Source organism: Homo sapiens, chromosome X, assembly GCF_000001405.40.
Source record: "Homo sapiens chromosome X, GRCh38.p14 Primary Assembly".
NCBI classification, from domain to species: Eukaryota; Metazoa; Chordata; class Mammalia; order Primates; family Hominidae; genus Homo; species Homo sapiens.
In genome coordinates this window covers 119,257,674-119,273,647 of record NC_000023.11, presented here as the reverse complement: position 1 = coordinate 119,273,647, position 15,974 = coordinate 119,257,674, and the positions used below count along the sequence as shown (strand labels likewise).

The 15,974-nt window shown below is 41.1% G+C and overlaps 1 annotated feature.

Moving 5' to 3' along the window:
* Positions 6,908-7,202: a silencer, noted in NCBI's record as "tiled region #13303; K562 Repressive DNase matched - State 12:CtcfO". NCBI's record gives its function as "represses a minimal TATA promoter and a strong SV40 promoter by Sharpr-MPRA in K562 cells {active_cell/tissue: K562}" and the evidence as "EXISTENCE:reporter gene assay evidence [ECO:0000049][PMID:27701403]".

The following is a 15,974-nucleotide window of genomic DNA, read 5'->3' as shown; positions in this document are numbered from 1 at the left end:
GCGCGCGGGCAGACGAACCCGCAGTCGCGAGCTACTAGGCAGCCGCGGTGAGCTCGCCAGAGCCTCAGGGGATCGAGGAGGTCACGGGGCGTTGGCACCGGGTCGCGCGCCAGCGTTGCCCTCTTAGCGAGGACGCTTCTGCGCGCGGTGAGCTCGACGCGAGCCATTCAACAGCTGGCCTCGCGAGCGACAGTCGCACGGGGTGACTGGGACCGCTGACGGTTGCGACTGCGGCGGTTAGAGGGAGGCGACGACGGCGGCATAGACGTTGGCGGCAGCGGCAGGGACGGCGGCGGCAGTCCCGTTATCCTACCGGATCCTGGAGTAGAGACGAACGGTTCCTGAAGCTCCCGGTAAATGCCCTCGGCTCTGTCCTCAGAGGAGGCAGCCACGCTGGGCCTTCGGTAGGGACTGGGGAGGGGCTGCGCAAGAGACCCGAGTTCCCCGCTTGCCCCAGCAGAGTCACGTTTTCCAGAGTAACGCCTAGGCTCTTCCAGGTCCACTCTCCCCTCACTCGAGACCCCGCTGAGCCAGGGAGCGCACCGGAACCCACTCGAGGGCTCACCCAGGCCGCTGTTGGGCGAAGGTCGAGGCATTCCCCTGAGGCACGTTGGCAGTGACATCCCGCTAATGGGAACTGAAGGTGCCCTCTCCTGCTCGACCGGTACGCCAAGTGCCCATCATTAGCAGGGCTCTGCCGCTGCCGCCCCCTGATGACCCTCGTCCTTGGCTTTAGGGACTTCTCAAGAGATTCTGAGTCTCGGCTTGAGGTTTCCGGCGGGGTGGATTAAGACCGTTTTAATCTGACTGTGGCTTGCTCACCCACAACGCTTTCGGGATGCAAGATCCTGAGCTTGGGTTGGTGGGCCGAGAGGCGAGGGGAAGAATCAAGTTGGGGAGGCCCATGCTGTAGGATATGCATGCCATACCCGCACTCAGGGGAAATCATAGTCGTGGTCCTTGGGACCCGTGCCGCCTTTTGGTCTCCTGCTTTTTGTGTTTTTATTTAAAGTCGACCATTACAGGAGGCAGAACTTTCTAGTGCTGCTAACTCCGAGGGGTAACAAACGTGTATTGGAACGCTGGGTTCCAGTATGGGAAACTGGTTACCCTTTGGGCCTCTTCTTGGTGTCTTTTCTAGATTGAGAATATGATCTCAAAGATCATGCCCATTTCGCCCTGTTTTCCGGCCTATGTCTGATCTAACCTTGGAACTTCATGCTGTTGAGAGTGTAAACTTGTGCAGTGCAATCGGTAGGGCTCGTTCTTCATGCTAAGAAAACCATTTTTTGGAAAAATATGTTGGGACCTCTCAAATTCTGGTTTTTTGTTTGTTTGCCTTTTGAAGCATGTGACATTCCAGCAGTTACATTTTTCTGTGCTCTGGTTTTTTGGGAGGAGGGGAGAGAGGCGGGGGGAGGGGAGAGAGGCTGGGGGAGGCCTTCAAAGAATGGAGTAACTTGAAGCATGGAGTAACTTCCATGAAGGGATTTTTCCTTCAACCCTTGTGGAGCACAGAGGAAAGTGACTAGTGGAATAGGCCTGCTGGCAAAGGTGCCCGGAGGATCCCAGCTGCCACACACATCAGGATGGATGGGGCTGACTTGAGGTGGAGTAACATTGGGCAGGAGGGGGACAGGGCCTGCAGAGTCCACCTTGGCTTTTGTAGTGGCTTTCCATTTTGTTCCAGCCAAAGAGTATACCTGCAGTGCAGCCTGTTTGTCCAAGTTCCCATCATACACTTACGTGAAGAGAGTGGCCTTTGCTGGCTTTATGTGTCATCTCTACCCACAGTAAGAAAGGCGAGGTACAGAGGTTAGAGAACATGGAGATGATAATGGTGGTGGTGGTGGTGGTGGTGGTGGTGGTGGTGATGCGTGTGTGAGAGAGAGACTTATTCCAAACAGTGAAGCAGTTTATCTTCCCAGCATGCATTCCTACCTTTGCTAGAGAGAGAGAGACTTTTGCTGAGTTATTTCAGAGCCAGGGCGCTGGTAGTTGTCCAACTCTCTGATTCAGTGTACACTTGGGTCTGTGGGTTCTATGTTGTATCCAACATGCTTCTGGCACTTTAAGAAGCTATAAAACCAAGCTGTGGGCTGAGGCAGGCTAATGCCTGGGGCACAGAGCAAATGTGGACATCATGGAATCTAGTTGCCCTTTGCTCAGAAGAGACAGCGCAAGGGCTGGAGCACTTGCAGAAGAAGAGGAAGGTCAGTGAAAATTTGGTAGTCATAATAATAATGAAAATTTACTGAACACTTACTGGAAGTTAAGTACTTTACTTGGATCATTTTAATTAATTTATTTATTTTGAGACAGAGTTTCACTCTTGTTACCCAGGCTGGAGTGCAGTGCATGATCTCGGCTTACTGCAGCCTCCATCTCCTGGGTTCAAATGATTCTCCTGCCTCAGCCTCCCGAGTAGCTGGGATTAAAGGTGCACGCCACTACACCCTGCTAATTTTTGTGTTGTTGGTAGAGATGGGGTTTCACCATGTTGGCCAGGGTGGTCTCGAACTCCTGACCTCAAATGATTCACCTGCCTCAGCCTCCCAAAGTGCTGGGATTACAGGCGTGAGCCACTGCACCTGGCCACATCATTTTATTTAATCCCACCTGTAAGGTAGGCACTATTATCATCTTCTGAAGCTCAAAGAGGTTAGGTAGCATGCCCAAGGATGTCACCAAGCTGGTCAGTGGCAGAGGCGGGATTTGAACCCAGATCTGCTTGACACCAGACCTGGAGCTCAAAAGCATTTTGGTTTTTACTGTCACAGAGAAGGTTGCATAAAAGAGGTGAAATGGAGCAAGGTTTTGAAGGGTGAGTAGGCTTTAGATGAGGAGATGGGATATTTGGCTGAGGGGATCAACATCTTTAAAGGAACTCAAGGAAGACTGGCCCAACTAGAATGGGGGATGGACACACGGGTGTGGTGAAAATAGGGCTGGCAAGGTGGGTAGGATCATGTTTTGGAGACCTTTGAAGGGAAACTGTTACCTGAAGCAGTAAGAAGTGGGGGATGTTGAGAATTTTGGGGCAAGGAAGAGCATGGCAAAGGCAGTATCAGTCACCTGGTGTGACCAGCATGTGCCTCTCTCATCCTCATTCTCATTTCTCATTCTTGAGAACCTTACCCAATGGTAGCACATTTAGACATTGTTTTTGGATTTCCTGAACCCCTACAGAGTAGCAGACATGTGCAACCAAATACATTCCTGGGTCCAGTGTGCAGAAGGAACACGCTAGGGGCCCTGGGTCAAACTCAGCCTTAGATGAGTGTGCTGCGGCCTGCACAGGATTTGAAAAAGCAATTGAATTAGTGGTCAATGTTGAAAAAGCAAAAGAACTCAGTAAGGATCAGGATTTCCAGCTTATCTTGAAATGCTGGAAGGTCTGGTCTGCATTTCACTTGTGGAGGGCAAAGCTGTGCAGAACTGACTTCTTTAGCAAGGGGCAGGTGCTCTGCTTTCCCATGGTCCTACCCAGTCCCCAGCCCCCGTGCTTAGTACCTGCCTAATCCTGTAGGCCCTGGGCCACTGCTCAAGGGAAACAAGCCCCCACTTGGGAAGTTTCACACTCAGGATTAGCTTCTTGTCTTATTGTGTAATTAGGAAATTGTCAGACATGCAGTGAAACTGTCTCTGTGAAGGGTGAATAATCTTAACACACAGGAATGCTGTGTACCTCATTGTGGAGCATTATCCATAGATAGTAGCTTTCTTTGGGCCTGGGGCTGAAAGCCCGCTGTGCTAGGGCCCCAAAGAGACATTCTGGTGGGCCTTGCTGTTCTTCATCCTTTGCTTGCACTCAGGTTTTCTGTTTGCTGAATAGTTGATGTGTATAGGATCTGGGTCAAAAAGATTTAAAAAAAATTGCGGGGGGGGGAAAAAACCCCGAAGTGACTACCTAAAAGATAGCATGTTAAAAATATTAATCTGGAGTCCCAGAAAGTGGTCCATACGTTTTAGATGGGCAGGTATAAGCCACTCTGTGTTGGCATTTGAGGTGCGGAGTTCTTTGTTGTGCAGGTCTGTTTAGGAACTTCAGGGCAGTTAGCATCGCTGGCCCCTTGCTTACAAAATGGCAGTGGTGTCCTCCCTATGCTAGTTATTGTGACAGCTACAACTATTTTTATGCATGTCCCAACACTCTTGAAGGGAGCAATACTGACACACTTAAACATGACTGTAGCCTATTCTCAGGAATTTTAACACTCATGTGAAAGAATGTTAAAACCATTATTGCTTGTCTGTAGCCCAAAGTACCAAATGTCTCTCCTGACATTCACCATTTTCTTCCTTAGATTCCAGTTAATTGTCTCAATTTCTTTCCCTTTCTAGACTCAGTTGTTTGAGGGTGACTCTTCACTGTGGTCCCCAAACTGTCTTAAAGGTGCTTGGTAGGTACACTTAAATTAATCTCAATGTTCACTGATTAATGTTAATAGGTCTAGGAGTCCAAAAGAACAAGCAAGTCTGCATTATCATTTCACTGTGGGTCTTTAGGTGCTGTTATTAGTATTTTAAGTAGGGAAGTAATACTTTTTTTTTTTTGAGACAGAGTCTCAGTCTGTCACCCATGCTGGAGTGCAGTGGTGCGATCTTGGCTCACTGCAACCTCTGCCTCCTGGGTTCAAGTAATTCTCCTGCCTCAGCCTCCTGAGTAGCTGGAATTACAGGCGTGCACCACCACGCCCGGCTACTTTTTGTATTTTTAGTAGAGACGGGGTTTCACCATGTTGGCCAGGCTGGTCTCGAACTCCTGACCTTGTGATCCACCCACCTCGGCCTCCCAAAGTGCTGGGATTACAGGCATGAGCCACTGTGCCCAGCCGGAAGTAACATCTTTTAAATGTAGTTATTGCACAAAGTCTCTGTTTTACATAAGATTTAGCATTATTAAGTTCCTACTATATGTTAGGTACTGTTCTAGGCTCTAAAGATATAATGGTGAACCAGACAGATGCAGATTAAAAATAAAATGTTAACAATGACACAGGATGATCAGATGGTTTCTGTGTTACAGTGAAAATAAAATGGTATGATAGGCTACCAAGTCACAGGGGTGATAGCAGTGCTATTTCAGAGAGTGTTTAGGGCAGGCTTCTCTGAGGAGGTGACATTCAAGTCAAATGAGAGCAAAGTGAAGGAGCCAGCCATGAGAAAATCTTGAAGGAGAACCCTTCAGGTAGAGGGAACCACAAGAGCAAAGGCCTGAGGAGTGAACCTGATGCATTTGAGGGGCAGTAAAAAGGCCAGTGGGGTGAGATGGAGAGAACAAGGGTAATAGGGAGAAGGGTAAAAAGCTGAGTTGAAAGAGGTGGGCGGGGGCCATGTTTTGAAGGTAAGTAGTTTGGATTTCATTCAAAACATGATGAGATGCTGCTGGAGGGTTTTGAACAGAGGAGTGACATGATCTGATTTAGGTTTTTAAAAATATGACATTGGCTGTTGTGTAGAGTAGACTCTGTAGGGGCAAGGATGGAAGAAGAAGGACCAGTTAGGAGGCTGTTGCAGTAATCCAGGTGAGAGATCACAGTGGCCTGGACTGGGGGGTAGCAGCGAAGATGGAGATGAATTTGGGATTTGTGGTAAAGGTGGAGTCAAAAAGACTTTTGGAAGGATTAACTCCTAGGTTTTGAGCCTAAGCGCCTGGGTGCAGGGTGGCTCTACTTAGGGAGCTGGGAATCACTGGGAATCAGGGGAGCAAGTGTGATGTGGAGGACAGGTTTAGGAGATGCAAATTAAGGGCTCTGATGCACTTGTTAGGTTGAGATGCCAATGATACATTCAACTGGAGACATTGAATAGGCAGTTGAATATCAATATAAAAGTTGGCTGGAACTACAGCCTACATAAAATTAAATGCAAATTAAAGCTGCTTTAAGTTGTCATTTTATACTAATAAAGGTAACAGAAATAAAAATGATAATGATCCAGTGTGATCAGGACTGCAGGGGAATCAAGTATGTTAATAATGCTGATGGCCTAATAAATTGGCTTTTAAAAAATATTTACATAAGACCTGGAACGGTGGTTCACACCTGTAATCCCAGCACTTTGGGAGGCCAAGGCGGGCGAATCACTTGAAGTCAGGAGTTCGAGACAAGCCTGGCCAACATGGCGAAACCTCATCTCCACCAAAAAAATACAAAAATTACCCGAGCGTGGTGGCATGTGCCTGTAATCCCAGCTACTCTGGAGACTGAGGCATGAGAATCACCTGAACCCGGGAGGCAGAGGCTGCAGTGAGCTGAGATCATGCCCCTGCACTCCAGCCTGTGAAACAGAGTGAGACTCTGTCACAAAATAAATAAATAAATAAATAAATAAATAAATAAATAAATAAATAAATTTACACAAAGATTTCCATGGTAGCACTTGTTCTCATAATAGTAGTGTAGAGTAGTGGCAGTACTCTTTTGGAAAGAGTTATGCTCTTTCAAAAATAATTGAAGACACAAATCCCCAGGGAGAATATCCAACTAAATATATAGTAAGTATAGAGTTTCTATAGAATTTTTCTCTATATAGAATTTCTTTTTTAACAACATTTAATTTTTATTGACACATTGTAATTGTACAGAATTTCGAGAGAAACTCTCTATAGGCATGAAAAATGAGGAATTGTGTTGACCATATCAATATCTGGAATTGCTAATAAAACAGGTGCAAAAATCAGATCATGATGGTATATACAATGGTGTAAATCTTACATGCTGTTCATGCTGAATATTGTTAATATACAGTTGTCTTAATTTTAAAATAATTTCATTCGCTTTTGACTTTGTACCTTTTTCTCTCTGGCACTATTCCCTGGTTAGGATGCCATAACTTCATTTTGGTCCACTGTGAAGAGTTCAAGTGAATTGTGGCTTCTCCAGTCTTTCTTCCCTTGATCACATTTTCAGCACGAGGTATTGGATAATATCCTATTCTGTGGGACTTGTATTCAAATAAGTTTACCTTGGGATTTTTAAAAGGTTGGGAAGTACTGTTACTCTCAAAAACTGTGTAATAGTGCAAAGCAGGGTCCCGTGTGAAGGTTGCTTTTGACCTGTAGGTGGCGACTGGTGGGCAGGAATTTTGCTGGTAATTTTCAGATTGTGGAAATACAACTGAGAAGCAAAACACTGGCAACCTCATGATACGCATTTCCCACAAATAATACTGATTATTCAATGATGGAGGCAAAAGTATGGAAGATACTCAGCCACATTCCTTTAATTCCCTGATAGCTTTTTTTTTTTTTCATGAGAAGAGAAAGCAGTGAGTCTTCTTCAGTAGCATTGTTTATTAATCCAAGGTATAAAGCAGCATTCCTGGCTGGAGGTGTCTGGAGAGAGGTGTTCTTCAATAAAAATGTTCCTGGTGCAGAAGAAGGGGCAAAAGACCAAAGGACTGGTCAGATAGGTCTGCTGACTGCTCTGTGCAGGTTTTTAAAAATAGCTTCTTCCCTTGTTATCTTGGAATGACTCCTATACACACTAGCTTAGAGTTAGTTATGTGAATGCATTTGCACAGAAAGGCCAACACAAGACTTTTCTTCAGGCTAATTTATTTTCTATTAGCCTCAGAAACACTCAGAACACTTTGCTTCCACAAACATTACCACATACGGAAACTTTAGGATGATGTTTTAACACAAGGAAAAGAAAACAGGAAATTAAGTTGCTCAGAGTTAAATTAATGTGAATCCAGCTTTCTTCATCTCAGGATCAAAATTCCACATACTAAATTCTACCTTCGAGCTGATTTTCTTTGAATGGTGGTAGAAGAGATTCTCTCTCAGTAGGACTCTAATATTTCATTGTTGCAAATTTATCATTGCCAAATGGCTGTGCATCTCCAAAAATCCCTTCCATTCTGCCCAGAAAGCCCCCAGTGCCCCCATAAGCCCAGACCATTTTAATTTTGGAATTCGGTCATTTGTCGGGCCATATATTGGCTATATTCTTATTATTGCAAAACTGAGTGCCACTCATTTTAATGATGTGATTTTTAAATTATTCAAGATCAGAGCATATGGTCAGCCTCAGTTTTAAAATGTTGTTGGGCTAATGGCGTGTCAGAATACTTGAACGTCCATGCGTGGCATCTTGACTGAAGAACCATGGAATGTTTTTATTTGGTCAAGATATACTGGGATTCTGTAGTAGCCAGAAAATTGAAAATTGGCTAGGTTAATTTGACCCAAATAAATTCTGGCTTCCCTGCTATTTCCATAAATATGTTGTATAATTGCATACATCTTAAATGTTTTCAAAATGACTAACCTTAAAATTCAAAAGCCTGGAGAAAAAAGAAAGGCAGCAAAGAGCTACTTTGAAAGAGGATATTGATTGCATAGATGGTCCTATTTTTTCCACTTTTTTTTTAAGTACCTCATTCAAATGGCCTTTCTAATACTATGACAGCAAATATTTATGAGAGTGAGAACAAGCAAGAGAGAATGAATAGGTGGCTACTTTGCTGATTACTCAAGTGCTTTTAAAGTTTCAAGTTATATTTCTGATCTAAAAATCCTGAGATATATTAGGTGAATCTCTCCAGTATCTCCTGAAACAGGAGAAGATATTGGAATGTCTTAGGATGCAGACTGTGCAGAATTTACTGAGGTTTCACTGCTGGTTAAAATAAACATTTTAGGCTTGTGACAACATCTCCAGTCTATTTCCTTTTCTCTATTCCCTTATCCTACTGTTATTCAATCAACTTTGCTACGAGATATAGAGGCAAGGAAGATGAGGTGACCGTGTTCTCTGAGAATCTCCTAGAAATGTTTTGGCATTGGGAACATGTTGAGTGAAATGTTTTAGTGAAGCTACGTACACAAGATACTGCTAGAATGCACACTGTGTAAACATTATTAAATAACTATAATTTTTTAAGGTTAGAGGAGCTCCCATTTTCCTATGCAAAGATATTAAAGAATAAGTCATCTCAGTAGTGTTGCTTTTAATCATAAGGCTAAAGGAAAGATATGTGCATGTGGGTGGGGAGGATTGGGGAGGTTATGGTGAACACAATAGAATATGGGAATACTAGAAATATTTATTAAAATTTGACTTTTTGATAATTTGTGAAGGTCATGATTATGGCATTTCTTGCCATTAAGGCTTGGTTTATCTAGGCTCCTGAAACTTTGTTTAATAAATTAATCTATGCATATAATAGTGATTGGTGAAAATGATGGGAAAGTTATTAATGAATTCTACCATTACGGTCAATTGAAGCACAGGCTAATTAAAAGGGAAATTAGAGACAAATTAAGTTGTTCTAAAGAGTCAGTTTTAAGTCAAAGCCTAATAATTTGATCTTAGTGATTCCACACATTTTGGTATGTATATTTTGATGAATATATAAATATGCATAAAATACATAACTATATCTACAGTATAATAACTAAGCATAGATTATGTTTTTGTGTATTTGGCTTAAACAGGGTTAAAAACAAGGATTGTGTAGGGGAGAAAATGACAATCCTTTTTTTTTTTTTGAGACAGAGTCTCGCTCTGACTCCCAAGCTGGAGTGCAGTGGCACAATCTCGGCTCACTGAAACCTCCGCCTCCCAGGTTCAAGTGATTCTCCTGCCTCAGCCTCCCGAGTAGCTGGCATTACAGGCGCCCGCCACCACGCCCAGCTAATTTTTGTATTTTTAGTAGAGACGGGGTTTCACCACGTTGGCCAGGCTGATCTCAAACTCCTGACCTCAGGTGATCCATCTGCCTCAGCCTCCCAAAGTGCCAGGATTACAGGCGTGAGCCACCATGCCTGGACTAGTTGAGTATTTTCCAAAAACATCTGTTTGCTTTTGCTGTGTTATAAATTATCATTTATGAGTTAAACGCTGCAGCTAAGCCAGGAGTGGTGGTTCACGCCTGTAATTCCAGCACTTTGGGAAGCTGAGGAGAGAGAGGTGAGAGGATTGCTTCAACCCAGGAGTTTGAGACCAGCCTCAGCAACATAGGGAGACCCATCTCTACAAAAAATAAAAAATTAGCTAGACGTGGTGGCACGTGCCTGTAGTTCCAGCTACTCAGAAGGCTGAGGTGGGAGGATGGCTTAACGCCCAGGAAGTCGAGGCTGCAGTGAGCCTTGATTGCACAACTACAGTCTAGCCTGGGGGACAGAACAAACCCCTGTCTCAAAACAAAATATTTTGCAGCTAGATCAGTGATTGATGAGGGTAGGGAGGAAATGTGGAGGGACAATGGGTATTTTGACTACCTTGATTGCAGTGATAGTTTCATAGGTGTGTATACATATGTCAAAATTTATCAAAACATACAGTTTTGATACATGTGTAGTTTATGTTATGAAATCTGTAGTTTATTATATATTAATTTTGCCTCAATAAAGCAGTTCTAAAAGATAGGTTCTGCAGCCCATTGTGTAGCTAGTATTGCAATTGCCAAGTGAGCCTGTGATATTCAAAGTCCTGTTCTGATCTCCCAGGCTTCCATCGTGACTCACACAAACTTTGACTATGGGTTCAAATGCCTATAGGCATTTACAGAGATGGCAGACAGAGGGGTGCTTTTGGTGGGTGAAGGGAGTTGCTATTGTATTAATCTGTTTTTTTTACCCTTTTCTGGACAAGTTGGTGTCAGCGGTTATAAATTGCTTCCTTTTAGTAGCTTGTTATTATCATCTGAAGTTCCTCTTTTTAGTTAAACAAAGTACAAAATTAATACATTCTTATTGTAAACATTAAAAAACTGAAGCATTAAGAAATGTACAACATGGGCATATAGAGTAAAATAATAGATTGGAGACTCCAAAAGCTGGGAGGGTGGGAGGGAGGTGAGGATTGAAAAATTACCCACTGGGTACAATGTACACTATTCAGGTGATGGGTGCACTAAAAGCCCAGATTTCACCACTGCACAATACATGCATGTAAGAAATTGCACTTGTACTCTCTAAATATATAAAAATAAATTTTTAAAAAGGAAATGTACAAAGTATTTAATAAAAAGGGAAAGTTTATTCTTCTCCTATAGTCCCAATCCATTTTCTAGGGGAAATATTGTTAACAATTTGATGTATATTCTTCCAGACATTATATATTATGTCTGTGTGCATGGCCATGTGTGTTTATATTACTTTTATAAGAGCAATATCATATGTTACTTTATTATTCTGTCACTTGCTTTTTATTTTTTCCCTAAAAACTATCACAGGCATCCTTTTTTGTCAGTAAATACAGATCCACTGTCTGGCTCCCTACCTCCCTCCCTACCTCCAAAAGGTGGAAGGGTGGGAGGGAGGTGAGGATTGAAAAATTACCCTTTGGGTACAATGTGCACTATTCAGGTGATGGGTGCACTAAAAGCCCAGATTTCACCACTGCACAATATATGCATGTAAGAAATCTGCACTTGTACTCACTAAATATCCAAAAATAAAATTACTCCCTCCCTCTGTTCCCTTCCTTCTCCTCCTCCTCTTCCTCCTCCTTCTTCTCCTATATATTTTATTAGCTTTTGACTTGAGGTCTCCTTAAGGAAGAAGCATCACAATGGGAGTTGGTTGTTGTGCACCTATGTACCAGTCACTATGCTAGTTAATTTTTAATGACTTAGAAGAAGTTGCCAATGACACTTCTATAGCAATGAAGCCATGCCGTATATAAAAAGCTTACTTCTTGGTCATACTAGGTCCTCAATATTTTTTAAAAGTAAGATTAGAGAATTAGCCCTCTATTTTGGGAGAGTAATTTAAGATGAAATATTTATTGACATTCAATTTTAAGATCTAAAGCCTGTGAACCACTATGAAAGATATGAGAAGAACAAATGCCTCAGTTTCTTGTCATTTTTGTCCTTGGGAAACAGGAATTTAAGTTGTGAGGATTTTAAAGGAGGTCAGTTTTTTGTTTTTTTTTTTTTCAAAAACAATTGGGTCTTCTTGGGAAAATCAGTTTGTTCTTATAGTCATCCATTTTATCCAACATTCTTGATTATACATAATTTGTGATAATTTCTAAATATCAAATCCATGATAAAGGAATTTAGAAATTGGCCTCCATGAAGCTACTTAAAATAATGTAACCCAGGCTTTGAAATCAATCCAAGAGAAGCATTCTACAGTGTTTTAAACAAAGGCAGTATTGCTGGAGCAAGTGGAGAGCTTGACAAACCTGATTACTTTGAAGAGAGTAATTCTGTTTTGGGTGAATATTTTCTGGAATTTTTTTAAAAAAACTATTGCTTTATATTAGGTTGTATAAATAAATACCTAATGGTTATAAATAAATTTTAGAGTTCAGTATATCTTAATTGAATATCACATTAATTTTTCTCCTAGAGGGGGCTTAGTGTTGACTCTTATTGCAAATTGCAGCAAACTAACTGGATTTTTTCCATTTTGCTACATAGATAATGCTTTTGGAGAAAGAAAACATGTTTCTTCTCATATCATCCCATTTCAGTGTTGCTGTCATAAGGGTTTCTAGAACATAGTATCTTAGATACTGCTTTTGATGACCTTTTATAAAATCAGTCTCTACAAACCTTGCCTTCTAAAGGAAGTTAACTTGGATTGTCCTTTAAGGGTAGTTATTAAATAATTCTGTACCTATAAAGTTAGCCAAGATTTCGCAGTAAATTTTGTGTTAGAATTTCTGTCATCTGGCCATATATGTTTGGCTCTAAATTTCCCTAAAGTTGACGTTAATGAGAAATTCTGGTGACATAGAGTCTGAATATATCTGCTCAGAAAAAAACTCCTTTATTAGGAAGTGCTATTTAAAGTAAGCAAATAGAAGCTTAAATCTCTAATTCCCAGCATTAGTGATCTTGTTCACCTTAGTACTGCTTCAAAGAGTTTGTTAATATGAAGTAAACAGGAAGCACTCATGTTTTGGGGTTTTTCCAGTCCCCAAGTAGAGGGCAAATTCACTTTGTCACTCATTAGAAAAGGCTGTCTCTTCTTAACTTTAACTTAGAGATCAATTTAGTTAAAGTCAACAGACTGGAGGAACAAGAGTAGATATGTCCATTTTAGACTTGGAAACCAACGTGGACAAGGGATGCTAAGTCAGGTGCATGGGTTAGAACTATAAGTTCTATGTATGTTCGGTGCATGTTCATTAATGTGCCACCCTTGCCCTGTTTGTGTACCATCCCCAGCAGATTTTTAATGGAACTTTACATTTAAGATCAATTGTACAATAGATTAGAGATTTAGAAAATCTTGGCTTCTCAATGTATGGGCAAGTCATTTAATTTTCCTGAAACTGTCTGAATTTCCCCATCTGTAAAACAGGCAGGCAAATACCTACTCACGGGTTGCTTCATAAATCAAATGAGATAAAGTAAGACTACTACCACTAATAGATAATATTATAACTTATGTTTATTGAGAACTTCCTGTGTGCCAGGCACATTCTAAGGATTTCACCTGTACACACTCATTTAATTCTCCCCCAAATCTTATTATCTCTATTTTATGGTTAAGGAAACTGAGACACAGTATATACTCTTTGAAAACTCTAAAAAACATTAAATATTATTAAGTAAATATTACATATTATTATTATTATTCCCTTATAGAACAGATATTATTATTTTTAATAGGCTTTATTTTTTAGAGAAGTTTTAGGTTCACAAGAAAATTGAGCATAAGGGACCTGGCGTGGTGGCTCACGCCTGTAATCCCAGCACTTTGGGAGGCTGAGGTGGGTAGATCACCTGAGGTCAGGAGTTTGAGACCAGCCTGGCCAACATGGTGAAACCCTGTCTCTACTAAAAACACAAAATTAGCCGGCCGTGGTGGTGCACACCTGTAATCCAAGCTACTCAGGAGGCTGAGGCAGGAGAATCACTGGAACCTGGGAGGCGGAGGTTGCAGTGAGCTAAGATCACGCCACTGCACTCCAGCCTAGGCGACAGAGCGAGACTCCCTCTCAGAACAAAAAAAAAAAAAAAAAAAAAAAAAGAAAAAAGAAAAAAATTGAGCAGAAGGTAGAGAGGTCCCATATACTCCTGCTCCTACACATGCCCAGCTTTCCCCATGATTAACGTCTCCCACCAGAGTGGTTATAGGTGTGACAATCAGTGAACCTACATTGACACATTATCATAACCCAAAGTCCATAGTTTACATTAGGGTTCAATCTTGGTGTTGAACATTCTGTGGTTTTGGACAAATGTATAATGACATGTATCCATCATTACAGTATCATGCAGCATAGCTCCAACTGCCCTAAAAATCCTCTGTGCTCAGCCTATTCATCCTTCCCTCCCCTCTAGTTCATGGCAGCCACTGATCTTTTTACTGTTTCCATAGTTTTGTCTTTTCCAAAATGTTATATAATAGGAATCATATAGTATGTCACCTTTTCAGATTGGCTTCTTTCACTTAGGAATATGCACTTAAGTTTCTTCCACGTATTTTCATGGCTTGATAGCTTATTTCTTTTTGGGGCTGAATAATAATCCATTGTCTGGATGTACCACAGTTTATTTATCCATTCACCTACTGAAGAACATCTTGGTTCCTTCCAGGTTTTGACAATTATGAATAAAGCTGCTATAAACATTATATGCAAGTTTTTGTTTGGACATAAATTTTCAGTTCCTTTGGAGAAATAACAAGGAGTGCGCATCGCTAGATCATATGGCAAAAGTATGTTTAGTTTTGTGAGAAACTGCCAAATTGTCTTCTGTAATGACTGTACCATTTTGCATTCCCACCAGCAATGAATGAGAGTTTCTGTTGTACCACATGCTCATTGTGATGCTTCTTCCTTAAGGAGACCTCATTTGGTGTGGTCAGGGTTCTGGATTTTGGCCATTCTAATAGGTGTGTGGTGGTATCTCACTGTTGTTTTAATTTGCATTTTCCTGATGACGTATGATGTGAAGCATCTTTTCATATGCCTTTTTGCTATCTGATATTTCTTCTTTGGGGAAGGTGTCTGTTAGGGCTTTGGCCCATTTTTAAATCAGACTGTACTCTTATTGTTGAGCTTTAAGAGTTCTTTGTATATTTTGGATAACCGTTCTTTATCTGACATATCTTTTGCAAATATTTTCTGCCGGTCTGTGGCTTATCTTTTTATTCTCTTGACAGTGTGTTTTGCAGAGAAGAAATTTTAAATTTTAATGAAATCCAGCTTATCAATTATTTCTTTTCTAGAATGTGCCTTTGGTGTTACATCTAAAAAGTCATTGCAATACGCAAGGTCTTGTGGATGTTTAAATGTTCCAGCACCATTTTTTGAAAAGGCTATCTTTGCTCTGTTAAATTGTCTTTGCTCCTCTTTTTTAAAGATCAGTTGACTGTATTTATGTGGGCCTATCTGGGCTTTTTATTCTGTTCTATTGATGTATACGTCTTTTCTTTTACCAAACCATTATCTTGATTACTATAGCTTTATAGTAAGTCTTGATTTTGGATAGTGTCAGTTCTCCAACTTTGTTCTTCTTCAATATTGAGTTAGCTATTCTGGATCTTTTGCCTCTCCATATAAACTTTAGAATCAGTTTGCCAATATCTACAAAATAACTCACTGGGATTTTGATTGGGATTGCATTGAATCTATTGATCAAGTTGGCAAGAACTGACATCTTGAGTCTTCTTATTCGTGGACCACATATTTAGTTTTTCTTTTCCTTGTATAGATCTTGTACATATTTTGTTAGATTTCTAACTAAGTATCTCATTGTTTTGTGTGCTAATGTAAATGGTATTGAGTTTTAAATTTCAAGTTCTACTTGTTCGTTGCTGCTATATAGGAAGGCTATTGTCTTTTTTGTATTAACCTTATATTCTGAAGCCCTGCTGAAATAACTTATTAGTTCCGGGAATCAGAAGATATTATTTTAATTCTGCTTGTAGTATAGCTTTCCTTATCAATTTGTTCTAAGTCCAGCAATGCCAGCACCATTTCACAATCCAAATCTGTGTATTACTCCATCTGTATCAAAATTTTCTCTTTCGTTCTCTAAGGTGGTCTGAG